Source organism: Homo sapiens, chromosome 4, assembly GCF_000001405.40.
Source record: "Homo sapiens chromosome 4, GRCh38.p14 Primary Assembly".
NCBI classification, from domain to species: Eukaryota; Metazoa; Chordata; class Mammalia; order Primates; family Hominidae; genus Homo; species Homo sapiens.
This window is the reverse complement of record NC_000004.12, coordinates 56,749,435-56,771,370: the sequence shown is the minus strand read 5'-3', so window position 1 is coordinate 56,771,370 and position 21,936 is coordinate 56,749,435. Positions and strand designations below refer to the sequence as shown.

At 44.2% G+C, this 21,936-nt stretch overlaps 1 pseudogene, besides 4 other annotated features; it reads left to right on the top strand.

Annotated features, from left to right (window-relative positions):
• LOC285453 (TXNDC9 pseudogene) lies at positions 9,761 to 10,459 on the top strand (annotated as a pseudogene).
• Positions 11,007 to 11,848: an enhancer, noted in NCBI's record as "NANOG-H3K27ac-H3K4me1 hESC enhancer chr4:57625689-57626530 (GRCh37/hg19 assembly coordinates)". NCBI's record gives its function as "activates a minimal SCP1, AML or CMV promoter by ChIP-STARR-seq in primed H9 embryonic stem cells {active_cell/tissue: H9 hESC(primed)}" and the evidence as "EXISTENCE:reporter gene assay evidence [ECO:0000049][PMID:30033119]".
• Positions 12,820 to 12,989: an enhancer, noted in NCBI's record as "active region_21584". NCBI's record gives its function as "activates an Ori minimal core promoter by ATAC-STARR-seq in GM12878 lymphoblastoid cells {active_cell/tissue: GM12878}" and the evidence as "EXISTENCE:reporter gene assay evidence [ECO:0000049][PMID:35858748]".
• Positions 13,120 to 13,179: an enhancer, noted in NCBI's record as "active region_21583". NCBI's record gives its function as "activates an Ori minimal core promoter by ATAC-STARR-seq in GM12878 lymphoblastoid cells {active_cell/tissue: GM12878}" and the evidence as "EXISTENCE:reporter gene assay evidence [ECO:0000049][PMID:35858748]".
• Positions 13,510 to 13,579: an enhancer, noted in NCBI's record as "active region_21582". NCBI's record gives its function as "activates an Ori minimal core promoter by ATAC-STARR-seq in GM12878 lymphoblastoid cells {active_cell/tissue: GM12878}" and the evidence as "EXISTENCE:reporter gene assay evidence [ECO:0000049][PMID:35858748]".

Here is a 21,936-nt window from a genome sequence, read left to right as displayed (position 1 = left end):
AGTCTCCCCAGTAGCTGGGACTACAGGTGCACGCCACCATACCCAGCTAAGTTTTAAAAGTTTCTGTAGAGATGAGGTCGCTCTATGTTGCCCAGGCTGGTCTTGAACTCCTGGGCTTAAGTGATCCTCCTATCTCGGCCTCTCAAAATGCTGAGATTACAGGCGTAAGACACACACACACACACACACACACACACACACACACACGAGCCATTGTGTCTTCTGGCTATAGGCTCTTTTCTCTGCTTCTCTGCTTCCTCCCACTTGCCCCCTTGCTTGATCTTTATTGCTTTCGGCAGCCCTTTCAAGTAATTGGGGACCTGGGTTTTATCTATTTCCTACTGTCTGAGTCCATTTGGGCTCCTATAACAAAATGCTGTGAACTGGGTAGCTTATAAATAACAGAAATTTCTCATAGTTCTGGAGCTTGGAAGGCCGAGTTCAAGGTGCCATTGGATTTGATGTCTGGCGAGGGCCCGCTTTCTGGCTCATAGTTGCTGTCTTCTTGCCGTGTTCTCACGTGGTGGTAGGAAGAAATGAGTTCCCTCGGGCTTGCTTTATAAATCCCGTTTATAAAGGCTTTGCCCTCATGATCTAATCACCCCCAAAGGCCCCACCTCTTAATACCATCCCGTTAGAGGTTAGGATTTCAATATATAAATTTTGGGGGAATAGACTGTATCTACTTTCTAGGAAAAAGAATTTTGTCTTTGCATCTCTATCTTTTTGTTTTTTGGCTAATTTCCAGGAAGAGAAGATGATAAATGCTACCTGTATCCCGTCTTGTTCAAACCAGAAATTCACGTTCATGAACTTCAGAGTCAGACAGATCTGGATTTGAATTTTTTTTTTTTTTTTTTTTTTGAAACAGAGTCTCACTCTTTCCCAGACAAGTGCAGTGGCACGATCTCGGCTCACTACAACCTCCACCTCCTGGGTTCAAGCAATTCTCCTGCCTCAGCCTCCCGAGTAACCGAGACTACAGGCATGCGCCACCATGCCTAGCTAATATTTGTATTTTTAGTAGAGACGGGGTTTCACCATGTTGGACAGGCTGGTCTCGATTTCCTGACCTCAGGTGATCCACCTGCCTTGGCCTCCCAAAGGGCTGGGATTACAGGTGTGAGCCACTGCGCCCAGCCTGGATTTGAATCTTGACTCCACTACTTGTTGACTTGTGTAACCTTGTGTAAACCTATTTTTATTTATTAAAAAAAAACAGCTACAGGGTCTATGTTGGCCAAGTTGGTCTTCAACTCTTGGCCTCAAGCAATCTCACCTTGGCCTCCCAAAGTGTTAGGATTACAGGCATGAGCTACTGTGCCCAGCTTTTTTTTTTTTTTTTTTTTTTTTTTTGAGACAGGCTCTCACTTTGTTGCTCAGGCTGGAGTGCAGTGGCATGATCATGGCTCACTGCAGCATCAACCTCCCGGGCTCAAGAGATTCTCCTACCTCAGCCTCTCAAGTAGCTGGGGCTACAGGTGTGTGCCACCACGCCTGCCTATTTTTTTTGTAGAGAGAGGGTTTCACTATGTTGCCCAGGCTGGTCTCAAACTCCTGGGCCCAAGAGATCCACCCACCTCAGCCTCTCAAAATACTGGGATTACAGGCATGAGGCACCATGGCCTTGAGAGTTTAATGAGGTGATGTTTACAAAGCTCTTAGCACAGTGCTTGGCACGTAGTAGGTGCTCGATGAAGAGTAGCTGTGACTATTAGTGTCATGGCCACAAACTACTGACCAGCACGCTCTATTTAACTCCTAGCCTGCTGTTACTTTTGGGAAAATATCTTCCTAAATTAACATAATTATGTTGAAGAGATCAGAGTTTCCAAGAACATGTTCAGCAGGAAAACATTCAAGAGATAGTTCCTAGTTTGATTAAAAAACTAAGGCAGGGCATGGCGGCTCACACCTGTAAACCCAGCACTTTGGGAGGCTGAGGCAGGTGGATCACTTGAGGTCAGGAGTTGGAGACCAGCCTGGCCAATATGGTGAAACCCTCCGCTCTACTAAAAATACAAAAAATTAGCCGGGCGTGGTGGCGCAGGCCTGTAATCCCAGCTACTTGGGAGGCTGAGGCAGGAGAATGGCTTGAGCCCAGGAGGTGGAGGTTGCAACAAGCTGAGATCACGCCATTGCACTCAAGCCTGGGCCATAGAGTGAGACTCCATCTCAAAACAAAACAAAAAAAAACAACAAAGGCAGGGGAATGAATTTAAACCTAGGAAACATTATGAACCACAATCCACCCTTTTCAAGATTCATAAGGCACATACCTGTATGGTGGTGTTGCAATAGGTTCTGTCGTGGAGTAATGTAATGTGCATTATCACAGAGCACAGAGAATATTCTGACGTATTTACAGGGGATAGCCCCGCCCACACAGGCAGGTCAATGTCTCAAATGAGGATGAAAGAATTAGCAACCCTCCTCCCACAGAGAGAAACTGCAGAACCTTAGCCATTCAGAGTCTGGGAGTTCCTTCTGGTATAACAAAGGAAGTTGCTATTCAGGAATACTCTCTCTGTTATTCCGGGAAGTACTGCTCTTACCCCATGTGCTGGAAACTGCCCTCAGTGCCTCCAAGTACACTAATGCATTTAATCCACAATGCTTTGAAGAGATTACTCCCTTTTACAGAGAAGGAAAAAATTTTTTTGCAACGAATGAGGGAAGTATTCCACACCTGTGGAAGGGAAGGAAAGGAAGAAGGACTGCACAAACAGAGAAGATGAGTTGTGGTGCAGACCCAACGGAAGGCTTCAGTCAACCCCATGGGGAGATCTGGAACAGAAGTCCTGCAAAGTTGCTCTAAGTAGGAGGGAGGAGGTCGGGCCTTTATACCCTGTGTTAATTAGTCACTGAATGTGGGCCATCCCTGGAAACAGGTTTCACTTTAGGCAAGGCAGTTTTTTATCATCAGAGGCAATCCCCAAAGAGAGCTGACCTATGAGAGCTGTCTTCTGGCCACACTTCTAGCAGCTGGGAGACTAAGTCCTTCATTCCAGGGGGCACTGAGGTGCACACTGCAGCTCCCACACCACAAGATGCATTTCCAAACTAAAAGTTTTATGCACTGACTGTGGACAAGTGAACCACTCCAGGAATTGAGCTCTCTCTTTGTAGGTAAAGCCCGAATTTTCCTAAGGAGGAACAGAAATTTTAGATTTTTTGATAGGGAGTTTTTGTTGTGTTTTGTTTTTGTTGTAAGAGATGTGGTCTTGCTATTGCCCAGGATGGAGTGCAGTGGTGTCATCACAGCTCAATGCAGCCTCAAACTCCTGGGTTCAAGGGATCCTCTCTTCTCAGCCTCCTGAGTAGCTGGGACTACAGGTGTGGACCACCATGCCTGGCTAATTATTTATTTATTTTTTCTTTTGTAGAGACAGTGGTCTCACTTTGTTGCACAGGTTGGTCCCAAACTCCTGGCTTCAAGTGATCCTTCCACCTCAGCCTCCCAAAGTGCTGAGGTTAGAGGCATGAGTCTCTGGCCTGGTAGAGAGTTTTGAGGAAGGCACATTCTTGTCAATACTTGTTATTGTCCATCTTTTAGATAATGGTCAGCTTAATGGATGTGAAGTGTCTTATTGTGGTTTAGATTGCATTTTCCATTTCCCAAATGACTAATGATGCTGGGCATCTTTTCATGTGCTTCTTGGCCACTTGTGTAGCTTGTTGAACAGAAATATCTGTTCAAATCATTTGCCCATCTTCTGATTGGGTTGTCTTTTTGTTGCTGCATTATAAGAAATTTTTATATATTCTAGATACAAGTCTTTTATCAGATATGTAATTTGTAAATATTATCTCTCATTCTGTGGGTTTTCTTTTCACTTTTTTGATAGTATCCTTTGACTCGCAAAAGTTTTACATTTTGATGAGTTTAATTTATCTATTTTTTCTTTTGTTAGTTGTGTTTTTGATATCATAGCTAAGAAATTGCCAAATCCAAGGTCATGAACATGTGCACCTGCTTTCTTTTTTAGCATTTTATAGTTTTAGCTCTTCTATGTAGGTCTTTGATCAATTTTGAGTTAATATTTTTATATGGTGTGATGTAGGGGTCCAACTTAATTCTTTTTTTTTTTTTTTTTTTTTTTGTGACGGAGTCTCGCTCTGTCACCCAGGCTGCAGTGCAGTGGTGCGATCTTGGCTCACTGCAAGCTCCGCCTCCCAGGTTCAAGCGATTCTCCTGCCTCAGCCTCTGGGGTAGCTGGGACTACAGGCACATGCCACCACTCCCGGCTAAGTTTTTGTATTTTTAGTAGAGACAGGATTTCACCATGTTAGCCAGGATGGTCTTGATCTCCTGACATTGTGATCCGCCCGCCTCGGCCTCCCAAAGTGCTGGGATTACAGGCGTGAGCCACCGCACCCGGCCCCAACTTAATTCTTTTGCATGTGAATATCCATTTGTCACGGCACCATCTGTTGAAATGACTATTCTTTACCCATTGAATTGTCTTGGCAGTTGTTGAAAACCAGTTGACCATAAACATAAGGTTTTATTTCTGGACTCTCAATTCAATTTCATTGATTTATATGTCTGTCTTTATGCCAGTATTGCATTGTCTAGATTACTATAGCTTTGTAGTAAGTTTTAAAATCAGAAAATATGAATCTTTCAACTTTGCTTTTTTTTTCAAGGGTGTTTTGGCTATTCTTGAATTTCCACAAAGTTTTAGGATCAGCTTGTCAATTTCTGCATATGGGAGCTGGGATTCTGATTGAGAATGCATTGAATCTGTAGGTCAATTTGGAGATTATTGCCATCTTAACTATATATATATATATATTTTTGTTTGTTTGTTTGTTTGTTTTTTTCAAGAGAGAGTCTCACTCTGTCACCCAGGCTGGAGTGCAGTGGTGCGATCTCAGCTCACTGCAACCTCTGCTTCCCAGGCTCAAGCTATCCTCCTGCCCCAGCCTCCTGAGTAGCTGGAACCACAGATGCATGCCACCATGCTCAGCTAATTTTTGTATTTTTGCTAGAGATGGGGTTTCACTATGTTGCCTAGGCTGGGTTCGAACTCCTGAGCTCAAGTGATCCGTCCGCCTTGGCCTCCCAAAGTGTTGGGATTACAAGCGTGTACCACCGCGCCTGGCCCATCTTAACAATATTAAGTGTTCTGATCCATAACCATAAATGTCTATTTATTGAGGTCTTCTTTAATTTTTTTCAACAACACTTTGCAGTTGTCAGTGTACAAATCTTGCACTTCTTTTGTTAGATTTATTCCTAGGTAGTTTATCCTATTTGGTGCTATTGTAAATTAAATTGTTTTCTTAATTTCATTTGTGGATTGTTTTTGCTAGTGTACAGAAATACAACTGATTTTTGTATATTGATCTTGTATCCTCCAACCTTATTGAACATATTTATTAGTGTTTTTGTGTGTGTTGTGTATTTGTTTTTATTAGAATTTTTTATGTACGAGAGACCATGTCATCTTTGTGGTATTTTTTTGAGACACTCTTGCTCTGCTGCTCAGGCTGGAGTGCAGTGGCACAATCTTGGCTCACTGCAACTTCTGCCTCCTGGGTTTGAGCAATTCTCCTGCCTCAGCCTCCTGAGTTGCTGGGATTATAGATGCCCACCACCTGCCCAACTAATTTTTGTATTTTTAGTGGAGATGGCATTTCACCGTGTTGGCCAGGCTGGTCTTGAACTCCTGACCTCAAGCTGGGATTACAGGCATGACCCACCACTCCTGGCCCATGTCATCTTTGAATAGAGATAGTTTTACTTCTTTTTTTCCAGTCAGGCTGCCTTCTATTTCTTTTTGTTACTAAATTACCTGGGCTAGACCCTCTAGTATGATATTGAATAGAGGTAGTGAGAGGGGATTCTTGCTTTGTTCCTGATCTTAGGGGGAAAGCATTCAGTCTTTCACCATTATGTATGATGTTAGCTGTAGGATTTTTGTAGATACGCTTCAGTTATCTTGCTTTTGGCTGAAAAATACAGAAAACCCTAACTTAAATGGACTAAAACCATGAGAGATTTCACTGTCTCGCTGTAAGTCTAGAGTAAGGATGGGCTCCAGTAACTGTGTGAATCAGCTTTTCAAGATACCGTTAAGATCTCAGGCTTCTTCCTCCCCTTCACTGAGGTGTCCTTAGCTTCATCCTAAGGTTGGTTTTCCCTAGGCTGTAAGATATCTGCCCAAATCATCAGAGACTATAGTGCTTCCTTATTGAGGTTTACCTGGAGAAACAGAGGGGTGTAAGAGTGAGGCAGAGAGAGAGGGAGGGAAAATGTCTCTCCCAACCACAGACTCTTTATCCTCTGCTCAGTCTGTGTGGGCCGAATGCCCAGTCAGGTTGCACAGCCATCTCTAGGTCAGTAACAGTCATCAGGGAAGCAAGATGTCTCTTATTCTTCTAATCATCACTCCACTCAGCATAATAAAGAACAGGTGGCCAGGCACAGTGACTCATGCCTGTAATCCCAGCACTTTAGGAGGCTGAGGCAGGCGGATCACTTGAGCTCAGGAGTTCGAGACCAGCCTGTCCAGTGCGGCAAAACCCCGTTTCCATTAAAAATACAAAAAAATTAGCCAGGCTTTGTGGTACATGCCTGTAGTCCCAGCTACACAGGAGGCTAAGGCAGGAGGATCGCTTGAACCCGGGAGGCGGAGGTTGCAGTGAGCCGACATCACACCACTGCACTCCAGCCTGGGGGACAGAGTGAGACTCTGCCTCAAAAAAGAACAGTAAATACAGCAGGGGACTTTTCTCTTTTAGGGGGGTTGGGAGAGGACTGCAAATACGACTTTTTCTCCTATTAAAATTTTATCAAATGTGATAATGGAATAGTTTTGTATCTTGAGTGTGGTGGTGGCTACATGAATATGCACATGTGATAAAATTGCATAGACCCATAAACACACTCACACAGAAGAGTGCAAGTGTAGTTGATGAAATCTGAGTAAGGTCCATGGCTGTAGCAATGTCAGTTTCATGGTTTTGATATTGTACTATAGTTATGAAACATGCTAATATTAGGGGAGAAGAAGTGAGCATAGGACTTCCCTGTATGTTTATTTTGCAACTTCCTGTGGCTTTATAATTATTATTTTTTTCATTCTATCAAGTAGATCTCACACTGGAGTTTCAGGCAGTGATCAGCAATGTGTAAGGGAGCTCCGTGGTGGAGCTAGGAGTAGAAGGAGACACTTTTTAATTCACAGTATCACTATCAGGTAGGTTGTCTCTTCCAATTCTAAAAAAGAAACTGGGATATAATCTACATACAGCAAAGTGCAAAAATCTGGTGTGAAGCTTGGCAATTTTACACACATGCATGCAAGCACACACACACTCCCCATCTCTCTCTTTACCACCTGAAGGCGCCCATTATTTTGACTATCACATAGATGAACTTTATTGAATGGCTTTTATTTATTTATTATTTTTTGAGACGGAGTCTTGCTCTTGTCACCCAGGCTGGAGTGCAGTGGTGTTATGTCGGCTCACTGCAACCTCCGCCTCCCGGGTTCAAGCGATTCTCCTGCCTCAGCCTCCTGAGTAGCTGGGATTACAGGCACCCGCCACCATGTCTGGCTAATTTTTTTTTTGTATTTTTAGTAGAGACAGGGTTTCGCCATGCTGGCCAGGCTGGTCTCGAACCCCTGACCTCAGGTGATCCACCCGCCTTGGCCTCCCAAAGTGCTAGGATTACAGGCATAAGCTATTGCACCTGGCCCATTTTTATTTATATTTATTGGCATCTTCAGTGCTAGGCTGGAAAAGGAAAAGAAAATAAATCTATTGATATTGCTGCTTGTGAGAACTCTGGTTGAGAGAGATGAAGGAAGGAAGAAAAGAGGAGAGGGAGGGAGGGAGGGTAGAAACAACCTAGAAAGTGGCACTTTTCTAAAAGGAGATTAGGAGTCCCTTGCTTCCTTCTACAAAGACCAGGCTTCCATCAGGTTGTGCTGATGGGGGAAAAGCAGCTCTGAAACCCAGGCCCCACACTCAGTGCTTTCACATGCAATCCTTGATTCCATTGCTTTTCAATGCTGGCCTGTGCTCACAATCCCTGTGCCACATCGAACTTCTGGCTCCACTTTTTTTTTTTTTTTTTAATGTAGCAGTACAAAAAGCTGATCATATAGCTTCCTCAACCAGAAAAAGGTGGTCATTAGAGGTGTCGTGGACTCTGGGGAGCCATATGGTATGAGACACGAACTTAAAGGTGCACAGCAAAGCCTCTTGGTTTCTTGGCTTCACCTGTCATCTCAGTTGCAGAGGCACAGAGCATCTTGTCTGGGGCCGGAAATCCCTGCTCTTTTCAATGTTTTGGAACACGTCATAAAGCTTAGTGGTGATACAATTACTAAGTTGTATTTATTTCTGCTGACTAGGGGCTTTCCCCTCTCAGTGGCATGTGATTGGATGTTCTCAGGAATGAGATCAAGCTTCTCATTCTTGAATAAATATTTTAAATCCAAAGAGGTAGAGATGACACTAATGGGAATTATCCATTCTTTAAACTTCCTGCAGCTCATTCACAGGTGCCCTTAACTGTGCACAGGATCTAAAGCCAGAAAAGCGGGGCAGGGTTGCGTTATTCTCCGAGTGGAAAGGTAACTGTGAGAGCCAAGGGGCCTGATGCCTGGACTGCGCCCTGCCTTTGCTTGGTGATAGGCACTCACGACTTGTGTTAGAGTCTTCCGCAAGAGACAGATCCTACACCTACAGAGGGCAGTGGAGGAGAGATTACTAAAAGGTTATTTACAAAAGGGTTGAGGGAAACCTATAAGGGATGCTGAGGCATGCCAGTGCTAGAATATCACCTTTAGGTCAAAAGAGATTGAGGGTGGTTACAAAGCTCAGAGAGAAGAGCTGAGAAAAGAAACTGACCAGTTAGGTAAACAGCCGACCTGAAGCCCAGCTGGAAAGGAGCCAGGGACTCAATACTGTGACCTCTCTCTTCTCCCAACCTCTGATCTCCTGCTGTTACCTCCCATTTTCCTAACCCAATTCCAACACAGGACCCCAGGGATCTTTGCTGATAGAGTTCAAGAAGATCAGCTCACCAAAGCACAGAGCAGGGAGCAAAGTGGATCTGGTGGGACAGAACGAAAAGTACCCACACACTACCCTTTTCCTCATCATGGCGTAGTTGGTCCTTCAGGGAAGCAGCACCTGCCCAGGTGTAACCACCCAGTGGGTTCTTCCTGCCCCCTGCGCAGACAAAAACCAATTCACTGAGATGACGGCATTGCAATAAAGAAAGAGTTTAATAGACACGAGGCTGATCATGTCACTTGGGAGACAGAGTTATTACTCAAATCGATCTCTCTGGAAATTCAAAGGCTAGGGTTTCTCAAAGATAGTTTAGGGGAAGGGGTAGCTAGGCAATCGTGCTTGCTGCTGATTGGTTGGGGGCGCAATCATAGGGGTGTGGCAAATGGTCTTCATCCTCACTGAGCCCCTTCTGGCTGGGGCCACAGGAACCGTGACCAAGTCCAGGTGGAGCCATCGGTTGTGACATGCAAAAAACCTGAAAAGATATCTCCAAAGGCCAATCATAGGTTATACAATAGTGATGGTATCTGGAGGAGTAATTGGGGAAGTTGGATATCTTGTGATCCCCAGAATAATGGCTGGCAATCATTTATGTCTACACCTTAGCAGAATTCAGGCTTCTCTATCATCCTAGTCTTGTGGTCTCTCATTAGCTTTACAAAGGCGGTTGAATTTTTGGGAAGGGTTGCTATCAATTAAACTAGAAACTAGATGTCTCCCTAGCCGCTGGCAGCTACTGCAAGGTTAAAGCCGGAGTGGACCTGTTTTTTGAAACTGCTGCTCTTTCACTTCTCAGGCATCACCGAGAGCTCAGCACCCAGGCTGAACTCTGTACCATTCAGAAGAATGGAAGCTGATGCATCTGTTGACATGTTTTCCAAAGTCCTGGAGAATCAGCTGCTTCAGACTACCAAACTGGTGGAAGAACATTTGGATTCTGAAATTCAAAAACTGGATCAGATGGATGAGGATGAATTGGAACACATTAAAGAAAAGAGACTCGAGGCACTAAGGAAAGCTCAACAGCAGAAACAAGAATGGCTTTCCAAAGGACATGGGGAATACAGAGAAATCCCTAGTGAAAGAGACTTTTTTCAAGAAGTCAAGGAGAGTAAAAAAGTGGTTTGCCATTTCTACAGAGACTCCACATTCAGGTGTAAAATACTAGACAGATTTCTGGCGATATTGTCCGAGAAACACCTCGAGACCAAATTTTTGAAGCTGAATGTGGAAAAAGCACCTTTCCTTTGTGAGAGACTGCATATCAAAGTCATTCCCATACTAGCACTGGTAAAAGATGGGAAAACACAAGATTATGTTGTTGGGTTTACTGACCTAGGAAATACAGATGACTTCACCACAGAAACTTTAGAATGGGGGCTCAGTTGTTCTGACATTCTTAATTACAGGTAACTTTTAACAAAAGAAGAGATTGATTTTAATTCATATATAGTTGATATTTTTACAAAAGATTTTTGTATTGTAACATTTATTTTATGAAATTAAGGCATTTCGGCTGAGATGTAGAAAGTTTCTCAAAGGAAAAGCATGTTTTTTGAAGCGTGTAATATTAGCGTGATTTTACAGCAAAATCAGATTTATAGATAAAACTGATTTAATAGGTAAAACTGAGTCTCACCGTACTTCTGACTATAAAAGTTTTCAGCTTAACCTATACTATTGACACTAATTTTGTATTAATCTGGAAACTTAAAATGGCAATCCAGTGTTGACTGTTCCCTAATTTAAGCCAGATTACTCAAATGAATACTGACTTAAGTGATTCTCTTTGATAAAATAAAAATTAAAAGCAGACTCTTGCAAAGAAAAAAAAAAAAAAAGAAACTAGATGTCTCCCAAAGTTAGCTTGGCCTAAGCCTAGGATTAATTAAGGGCAGCCTGAAGTCCAAAGGTAAGATGGAGGTTGGCCAGATCAGCTGTCCTTCACTGCCATAATTGTCTCACTGTTATAATTTTTGCAAAGGCAGTTCTACCGGGAGGAGGACTTCCTTCCCACCAGGCATAAAGAAACAAAAGAAGAAAGTAAATGTGTCAGCAGTACTCCTTGAGAATGTCAGTCCAGGCTCCCACATATGGTCACAGCAGATTTAAACTCCCATTTTCCTTTCCACTCCTGGACCTCATGGATCCCCCACTGCCTCTTTACATAGTGGTCCTACATTCTGGTTTGATGAAAACAATTCTAGGCCAGGTGTGGTGGTTCATGCCTGTAATCCTAGTGTTACTGGAAAGGGGTCCTGATCCAGACCCCAAGAGAAGGTTCTTGGATCTCTTGCAAGAAAGAATTCAAGGCGAATCCAGAGTAATGTGAAAGCAAGTTTGTTAAGAAAGCAAAGGAACAGGCCAGGCGTGGTAGCTCAAGCCTGTAATCCCAGCACTTTCGGAGGCCGAGGCGGGCGGATCACAAGGTCAGGAGATTGAGACCGTCCTGGCTAACAAGATGAAACCCCATTTCTACTAAAAAATACAAAAAATTAGCTGGGTGTGGTGGCGGGCACCTGTAGTCCCAGCTACTCAGGAGGCTGAGCCAGGAGAATGACGTGAACCCAGGAGGCAGAGCTTGCAGTGAGCCGAGATCGTGGCACTGCACTCCAACCTGGGCAACAGAGCGAGACTCTGTCTCAAAAAAAAAAAAAAAAAAAGAAAGGAAAGTAAAGGAATAAAGAATGGCTACTTCATAGGCAGAGCAGCGCCATGGGCTGCTCAGCTGCTTACACTTATTGTTACTTCTTGATGATATGCTAAACAAGGGGTAGATTATTCATGAGCTTTCTGGGAAGTGGGTGGGCAATTTCCGTAACTGAGGGTTCCTCCCCTTTTTAGACCATATAGGGTACTTGCTGACATTGCCATGGCATTTGTAAACTGTCAGTGCGCTGGTGGCAGTGTCTTTTAGCATACTAATGCATTATAATTAGCAATATAATGAGCAGTGAGGATGACCAGAGGTCACTTTCATTGCCATCGTGGATTTGGTGGGTTTTTGCTGGCTTCTTTACCACAACCTGCTTTATCAGCAAGGTCTTTGTGACCTGTATCTTGTGCCGATCTCCTATGTCATCCTGTGACTTGAGTGCCTAACCTTCTGGGAATGCAGCCCAGTAGGTCGCAGCCTTATTTTACCCAGTCTCTATTCAAAATGGAGTTGTTCTGGTTCAAATGACTCTGACACTAGCACTATAGGAAGCTGAGGCGGGAGGATCGCTTGAGCTCAGGAGTTCAAGACCAGACTGGGCAACATAGCGAGACCTTGTCAGTACAAAATACAAACAAAATTAGCCGGGAGTGGTGGCATCTGCTTGTAGTCCCAGCTACTTAGAATGCTGAGATGGGAGAATTGCTTCAGCCCAGCAAGTCAAGGCTGCAGTGTGCTATGATCGTGCCACTGCACTCCAGCCTGGGTGACAGAGTGAGACCCTGTCTCAAAACAAAAAATAAAGCAATTGCAAATATTTGAAACCCCCAAAAAGAATGGGGAAGGGGTGAATCCTATCTTTACTTAATATTTTGGTTATTGTTCATGATCAGTTCTTTTGCATTAATTTTGATTTGCTAAAATACTGCATTAAAATACCATTTATCCTAATTACCGAGAGTCTAGGCATCCCCTTCCTTACCTCACCCTAGTCCCAGCCCTTCAAGTGCCTCAATTTATAAGACTTTCTGGTAAGAGCCCTTTAGTGAGCTCACCTGTTGCGTTCTGAATAGGGATCAGTTTTTTAATGTTTTCATATACGTTTTCAGGAACACAGCTAGTATATAACAAAAGGAAGGACTCTCCTGTATATTTTTTCTTGGTGTTTTAAAGCCCATGCATACGAACAAATGTCTCCAATGACACAGAATCTCCAACTCCAGTTGCAAATCCTCTCTCACCCAACAGGCACTCTTTATTCGGAAGAGAACTTCCTTTAACCCTGAGTAGGAACTAAAATTCAAGTCATGTAAAAACAACACTTTTCAAAAGTGCCAGTATTTTGCTTTCTTCCTGTCCTCTGGTATGTGTTCTAAGTGCTTTTTTTAACAAACTAGTCTGACAGAAACCGCAACTGCAGGAAGCTGGAGCCCAAAATAAATAACTATATTTAAAAAAAAACACTTAGGTTCAGCTCTTAAAGAGCTAAACAGGCTCATAGCAAGTAAAACCCAGTCCTCTGCAGTAAAACCACCTCCCTCCCTACCTTATTGCTGAAAGTCAAGCTCCTGCCCTCCTACCCTAGACTTTCCATCCTAAGAGTCCCAGTCCCTCCTACTTTGAAGCCAAACGCATGGCTCCAGAGATGCCTGGCTTCACTCTGCCTCCTTCCTCCTGGAGGGCCGGAGCAGGGGCTTCACACTCACAGGGTGACAGAGCAGCACAGGACAGAATGACTCAGGTGGCAGGAACGCTCTGGTTGCTTGATGAGCAAAGCGTGTGGGGGAGGAGCAAATGGCTTCGACCAAGCAGCAGATGAGCAAGGCAGTCTAAGAGGAGAAAAGGGAATCACATAATTTGTATTTGTACTTTCTTTAAAAAAAAAAAAGACCAAAAACCAAAGAAACAAAGCTCAGATTCTACTTAGCGATCTCAAGACTTGCCCACAGATACTCAACTAAGTGTTTAACAATGTCTACACCCTGTCCAGGCCAGCCTGTGTCTCTTCTCCAGCCCGTAGCTGTCAGGTTGTTTTATACGCTGGTGCCACCTGTGGGGCGTGGTACAGGGGGGCCTGCTGGATTACATCTTAGTGTGTATTTACTACACATGCTGCCTGAACTGCCTGCATTCTGGCTGTGGCCTGGTGTATATCCCAGGCCTTGGGTCATTTCCATCCTACGTCTCCCAGAGCCCATAGATACCCGGGGTGGCCTTTAAAACTGGTGTCAGGCTGGGCCTGGAAAGTACCACCCAGATCCAGAACCAGCCTGCAGAATCCAGCTGCCTGGGGTTTGGGAGGGAAGGCCTTGACAGGCACTAAGCTGGCTGTTCCCTGTGAGTCAGAGCACACTGCACTGGGAGTTACATCCCTTGGGATGGGTTGAACAGTCACAACCAGAGGATACAGAGAGTCTCTTCCTTACCTCCTTCAAGCCAACCACGGGCTTTGTGTATTAGTTTTTTCATGTACAAAGCTGTCAAATAGTAAGGTCGAAGGGTATTCCTTGTCCCCTCTTGCTAATAATGCAGGATTCTAGCCCTCTCTGCTTCTCATCTTAGATATTTCTGAATGCTCACAGGAGTTTATCTTGCATCCTTATGATTAAGTCAGTTCAATTTCAATGTTATGTCCTGGACTCTGCTGCCAGTGTCTGGCACTGCTACCCTGTGCTGCTAAAGTGCAGGGCAAAGTAGGGAGACAGCATCATGGCCCCCTTTTTATAGGTTTCACTCTGTTGTTAGGATATAGGAGTGGTACAGTAGGCCAAAAAGTGACCCCCCAAAAGATATCCACATCAAACCCCTAAATCTGTGAATGTTCCCTTGCTGGGGAGAAAAGGTCTTTGCCGATGTGATGAAATTAAGGATCTTGACAGGAGGTGCTTATTCGGCATTATCCAGGTGGACCCCAAATGCAATCACATGTATCGTTATAAGATAGACACACGGAGGGGTTGGACGTGGTGGCTCACGCCTGTAATCCCAGTACTTTGGGAGGCTGAGGTGGGCAGATCACCTGAGGTCGGGAATTCAAGACCAGCCTGACCAACATGGAAAAACACCGTCTCTACTAAAAATACAAAATTAGCTGGGCGTGGTAGCGGGGTGCCTGTAATCCCAGCTACTCTGGAGGCTGAAGCAGAAGAATCGCTTTAACCCAGTGGGCAGAGATTGCGGTGAGCTGAGATGGTGCCATTGCACTCCAGCCTGGGCAACAAGAGCGAAACTCTGTCTCAAAAAAAAAAAAAAAAAGATAGACATACAGACAAGACACAGACATACTACAGAAGACATACAGAGGAGAAGTCAATGGAAAACTGAGAGATGTGGAACGATGCTGGGACATCGGAAGACAGAGGAGGGTAGGAACGGATTGTCCCCCAGGGCCCTGGAGAGAGTTTGGTGCTGCTGACACCTTAATTTCAGACTTCTGACCTCCAGAAGTGTGAGACAATAAATTTCTGTTGTGTAGAATTTAGTTTGTGGTAATTTGTTACTGCAGTCTCAGGAAAGGAAGATGAGCAATGTTGTTTATATTCTCCCAATGCCCTGCAGGGGTTTCTTTTGTGTATTTGTCCTCTAATTGGGTGAGTGTTCTCAATTGAAAGAGCTCTTTCGGTTATTGCTCCCATAGGACTCAGACATGAGTAGATGGTGATCCTGGGCTCGGACAAGCAGCAGCCACCAAACTCTACTAGAGATCCTGTCTCCCCTCTGCACAAATTCGTTCTGTCTGGTTCCCTCTTCCTTTAGGAGAGTTCTGTCCACGGGGTTCCTCAGGCCCTCCTGGAGTAGACTTCAGATGGGCCACCCCGAAAAACTCACGTGGAGATCTTAATGCCGGGGGGAGACTGGACTCACCTCGGAAATAACATGATACACGGGCATGTGTAAACGCAATGTACAAAACTTGGCTGCCTGGGTTCCTAACAGACTCGAATGCATTTGGAGAGCAGGATGAGGTTTCTTTGTAGCTGGCATAAGATAAAATTCCATTACAAGTTGCATTCAAATTACCCACTAGCTGCTGCTGCTGCTTCTTTTTGTTTGTTTGTTTTTGGCAGAGTCCCGCTGTGTCGTCCAGGCTGGAGCGCAGTGGTGTGATCTCGGCTCACTGCAACCTCCCTCCACCCCTGGGTTCAAGTGAACCTCCTGTCTCAGCCTCCTGAGTAGCTGAAATTACAGGTACCGGCCACCACGCCCAGCTAATTTTTTTTTTTTTTTTTTTTTTTTGGTATATTTAGCAGAGACGGGGTTTCGCCATGTTGGCCAGGCTGATCTCAAACTCCTGACCTCAAGTGATCTGCCTGCCTTGGCCTCCCAAAGTGCTGGGATTACAGGTGTGAGCCACCGCGCCCGGTCTCCTGCCAGCTTTGTTGAATGGCCTTCATTGCCTAAAATACTCTCTTCCTCAACTTCAACAAGGGGCTGAAGACTCTACTGTGAAAACCCCTTTTTTATGTTACCAATTCGTACCATAGGATATTCTTCATCTGGAGAACCAGTTACCTCAGAGGACTGCAATTTTAAATAAAGATACCCCAAGCCACCATTTATGATTATCTTCTTCTGGGCACTATAGAAAATTCCTAAACAAAATGTTGTTGTTGTACTGTCGTGCCCAGTGGAAACTTACTTTCTAAAAAAAAAAAAGCTATTGGCCAGGTGCAGTGGCTCCTGCCTGTAATCTCAGCACTTTGGGAGGCTGAGTGGGGAGGATCACTTGAGACCAGGTGTTTAAGATCTGCCTGAGCAACACAACAAGACCCCATCTCTACAAAAAATTTTAAAATTACCTGGGCATGGCGTTGCGCTTCTGTAGTCCTAGCTACTTGGGAGACTGAGGAGGGAGGATCACTTGAGCCCGGGAGTTTGAGGGTGCAGTGAGCTATGATCATGCCACTGCACTCCAGCCTGAATGACAGAGCAAGATTCTGTCTCTAAAAAAAAAACAAACTTTTTTTTATTTTATAATATATCTCAGAGAGGCTTTTATATCCATATATTGAGTGCCCTTGACCTTTCTTTGTGTCAGTATTATTCCATTGTGTAGATGTAACATCAGTTTTTTTTTCAGACGGAGTCTCACTCTGTTGCCCAGGCTGGAGTGCAGTGGCATGATCTCAGCTTACTGCAACCTCTGCCTCCAGACTTCAAGCAATTCTTCCGCTTCAGCCTCCTGAGTAGCTGGGACTACAGGCGTGCACCACCACATCCCCGGCTAATTTTTGTATTTTTAGTGCAGACAGGGTTTCACCATATTGGCCAGGCTGGTCTCAAACTCCTGACCTTGTGATCCACCCGCCTCGGCCTCCCAAAGTGCTGGGATTACAGGCGTGAGCCACTGCGCCCGGCTGTACATCAGTTTTTCAAAAAACTTGTCCCCTATGAGGGACATTTAGCAACAACCTAAATTTAAAATTAGGCTGGGTGCAGAGGCTCACACCTGTAATCCTATCACTTTGGGAAGCTGAGGTGGGTGGATTACTTGAGCCCAGGAGTTCAAGACCAGTCTGGGCAACATGGCAGAATCCCATCTCTACTAAGAATACAAAAAATTGGCCGAGCGTCATGGAATGTGCTTAAAGTCCCAGCTGCTCAGGAGGCTGAGGTGGGAGGATCACTTGAGTCTGGGAGGCAGAGGTTGAAGTGAGCCAAGATGGCACCACTGCACTCCAGCCTGGGTGACAGAATGAGACCCTGTCTCAAAAAATAAAAAACAGGCTGGCTTGGTGGCTCACGCCTGTAATCCCAGCACTTTGGGAGGCCGAGGCGGGTGGATCACTTGAGGTCAAGAGTCCGAGACCAGCCTGGCCAACATGGTGAAACCCTGTCTCTACTAAAAATACAAAAATTAGCCAGGCTTGGTGGCATATGCCTGTAATCCCAGCTACTCAGGAGGCTGAGGGAAAAGAATTGCTTGAACCCAGGAAGTGGAGGTTACAGTGAGCTGAGATCGTACCATTGCACTCCAGCCTGGGCGACAGAGTGAGACTCTGTCTTAAAATAAATAAATAAATTAATTAAATTAAATGAAAAAAATTAAAAAATTAATACTTCTAAAAAAACAGGAACGAATTTCACAGTGCTCTCAGTATATTAGCAAAATATTTTCCAATAAAAATTATTTTTAATACTATCTTATTTTAAAATACATACATATATGTGTTTTTATTTTATATCTCAGAGAGGTTTTTATATCTATATATTGAGTGTCCTTGACCTTTCTTTGTGTCAGTATTATTCCATTGTGTAGATGTAACATAGTTTTTTAAAAACTTGTCCCCTATAATGAACATTTTGCAATATATATATATATATTTACTTGTAATAAATCTACATGTTTTACAGAGCAACCAGATTTAGTAAACCTCCAAATGCCCCATCGGATGGGGCCATGAGGGCAGGGAAGCCATATGAAAGGCCCACAAGACTTGGGGAAGGATTGCATAGAGGGATTGGTGCAGAGCCTGAAAAGCAGGTTAGTCCTGATCCCGGGGCTGCACCATTATCCTGGACAAATTCCAAGGCCATCTGCTTTGCCTGTCAAGCCTAATGGTTTTCAAGTTTCTGGTGTCCAACAAGTAGGAATAGAGAAACTTACTTAAGTTACCTCCAGCTAATGAAGAAATATTGAAGTTCTTTTGAAGTTGGGTCATAAACATTTTACCAAGAAGAGGAAATAACAATTGTCTTAGGGTAACATTGATAAAATATCCTAATCCTTTGATGTCAGTGTAGGAAACAGCTGAGTAATTTATTAGCAAGCTTATGCTTTAAGTACAATTATTGTAGAAGAAAAATGTTCATATCTGAATTTTGCTCTCAGTTGCTCTCAAAGCAGTTTCTCCTCAAGTTCATTAATAACCATGTTTAAAAATTTTATCTTTAGACAACATATAAACAGCATGATGAAAATGAACCAAATGCTTCTTATTGACTATATATTTTACACATAAAAATGAGCCATTAGTTTAGATACTCTGATTCTCTTTCCAGTTCACAGAAAAATGACCTATAATTTGTTTTATTTTACCAAATAAAGAATGAATTTGAAAATACCCTTTCCTGGCCAGGCGCGGTGGCTCACGCCTGTAATTCCAGCACTTTGGGAGGCCGAGGCGGGTGGATCATGAGGTCAGGAGTTCAAGATCAGCCTGGCCAGCATGGTGAAACCCTGTCTCTACTAAAAAAATACAAAAAATTAGCCGGGTGTGGTGGCACACACCTGTAATCCCAGCTACTCGGGAGCCCAAGGCAGGGGAATCACTTGGACATGGGAGGCTGAGGTTGCAGTGAGCACAGTGAGCGCAGATCGCGCCATTGCACTCCAGCTTGGGCAACAAGAGAGAAACTACGTCTCAAAAAAGAAAGAAAGAAAGAAAAGAAAAGAAAATACCCTTTCCATTCTCCTTTTGTCTCCATTCTCCTTTTGTCTTTTTTTTTTTTTTTTTTCTTTTTTTTGAGACGGACTCTCGCTCCGTCGCCCAGGCTGAAGTGCAATGGCGCCATCTCGGCTCACTGCAAGCTCCGCCTCCCCGGTTCATGCCATTCTCCTGCCTCAGCCACCCGAGTAGCTGGGACTACAGATGCTCGCCACCAGTCCCGGATAATTTTTTGTATTTTTTTTTTTTAGTAGAGACGGGGTGTCTCCGTGTTAGCAAGGATGGTCTCCATCTCCTGACCTCGTGATCCGCCCGCCTCGGTACAGGCATGAGCCACCGCGCCCGTCCTCCATTCTCTTTTTGATAGAATGTGGAAACATAGAGAAAAGAGTCTTCCACTCCTGCCTTATCATTGCTTCTTCCTAGTGATAATCTTTGCATTTGTTTGGCACAAGATGTGATGTTGCAAACGGCTGAGCCTCATGCTTCCAACTCCAAGGGAATTCCTGGGTGTAGAAGAATTCTTGTTCCCCTTCACCCTTCAGAGTTCAATGGAAATCAACTAATTAACTTTACAAAAGGTGGATTAATAAGAGAAAAGGCATACAAATTTGTATTAACTTGCACGGAGTGAAAATCACAGAGTGATTATCCCTCAACCCAGTGGGGTACAGATGCTCATATACCTTTCTTCTTAGCGGAAAGGGAGATGGAGAAGTGTAGATAATTTTAGGGGAGTAGTAAATGATTTTTAGAGGAATTCGATGGGCTTGAAGAACATAAAATGGCCTGGACAAGTCTGTTGGGCCCGCAGAGCAGACGATGGTTTCTGACAAAAGTCTATCCAGGTGCGTCGACAGGCTTTAAGTCTTTATTCCTGTGATAGGAATTTTCAGTTAATTAAAATTCAAGGAAGGGACCAGAGATCATTGTTTTCCTCTTTGGCAGGTCTGAACTTTGGGCAGATAAGGGAACTTCAGAGAACAACTTCACCTCGTGCTTTGGGAGAGATAGGGGATCAAGAGGAGGGTGGAGGGAGAAGGTTAGAGAGACCTTGAGCCTTCTTCTTCAGTTCAGCATGTCAAAGCACCATATTTTGGGGTATTTGTTTCTGAACCCCAGCATCTCCAAATTATGGGAGTCAAATTGTCCTCACTCAGGTTTATGACTGCCATGCTCCTGTTTTGCGAGATAGGCTGTGATTTTTCTTTCCCCACTTTCATTTGTTTATTTTTTTGGGACGGAGTCTCGCTCTGTCACCAGGCTGGAGTGCAGTCGCACAATCTCGGCTCACTGCAACCTCTGCCTCCCGTGTTCAAGTGATTCTCCTGCCTCAGCCTCTTGAGTAGCTGGGACTACAGGCGCCCGCCACTGCGCCCGGCTAATTTTTGTATTTTTAATAGAGATAGGATTTCACCATTTTGGTCAGGATGGTCTTGATCTCTTGACCTCGTGATCCACCTGCCTTGGCCTCCCAAAGTGCTGGAATTACAGGTGTGAGCCACTGCACCTGGCCTCTTTCCCCACTTTGGCAAACTCAGTGTGTCTCCACAAATAACAGAATCCTCGGTAGCTAGTACATTGGTCCCATAATGAGGCTATGTAATGTGTTATGTGAAAGCAACAATCAAATTCTCACCATCCTGCAGATTTTTCTACTCTTTCCAATTCTGGATTGTAAGTTCCCTGTTCACTGTGACTGCTAACTCTTCCTAAAGGGGATGCAAATTGAATTGTGTGATTTGAATTTTAGATTGTAAACTCATCTTCAGTGAAACATGTTTTTGCTGTGAATTTCTCATGAGGCCCTGACAGTGAAAGTGTCTCTACTGAGCAGTTTCCTGTTTAGTTCTGCCAGATCATTGAAGGTTTCAACAGTCCTGACCAGTTTTGTGTTAATTTGTTACCTTATATGCTTAGAGTTTCTGCAGCACAAAGGGAGTGTAAAAATCAGGTCTTAGGCTTTGTTTTCTCACAAGTGATATTTTCTTTTCTTTTCTTTTCTTTTCTTTTTTTTTTTTTTTTTGAGACAAAGTCCCACTGTGTCACCCAGGCTGGAGTGTAGCGGTGCAGTCTCGGCTCACTGCAACCTCTCCCTCCCAGGTTCAAGTGATTCTCGTGCCTCAGCCTCCCAAGTAGCTTGGACTACAGGCATGCACCACCACACCTAGCTAATTTTTATAATTTTTAATAGTTGCCCAGGCTGGTCTCGAACTCCTGACCTCAGGTTATCTGTCTGCCTCATCCTCCCAAAGTGTTGGAATTATAGACCTGAGCCACCATGCCCGACCAACAAGTGATATTTTCTTAACACCCAAGGTCTCAGACAGTTGGCATGCTGTGGGATCTACTTCCCCAGGACAGTGGGAAGAGTTTTTCTAGGCCATGATTTCTGGACCGAGTAGCTCTTTAATGTTTCAAGATTTATTTAGAGTCCAAATTCCAGCTCTCCTATTCCACATGGACAAAAGTCATCATATTTTCTGTCCCTAGCCCAGTCTCTAGGGCTCACAGTTGAGCCTAAAATCCATCCAGAAAAATTTTGGCTGGAAAGCAAGCAATAAATAGTGAAATCAAAGGACTATTAAGCCAGGTGCAGTGGGGTGTTCCTGTAATCCCATTACTTGGGAGACTGAGGTGAGAGGATTGCTTGAGCTCAGGAGTTCGAGACCAGCCTGGGCAATATAGCAATACCCAATGTCCATTAGAAAAAATAAATAAAGAAATATAAAAGGAAGGCTGGGTGTGGTGGCTCACATCTGTAATCCCAGCACTTTGGGAGGCTGAGGTAGTCAGATCACCTGAGGTCAGGAGTTCGAGACCAACCTGGACAACATGGCGAAACCCTATCTT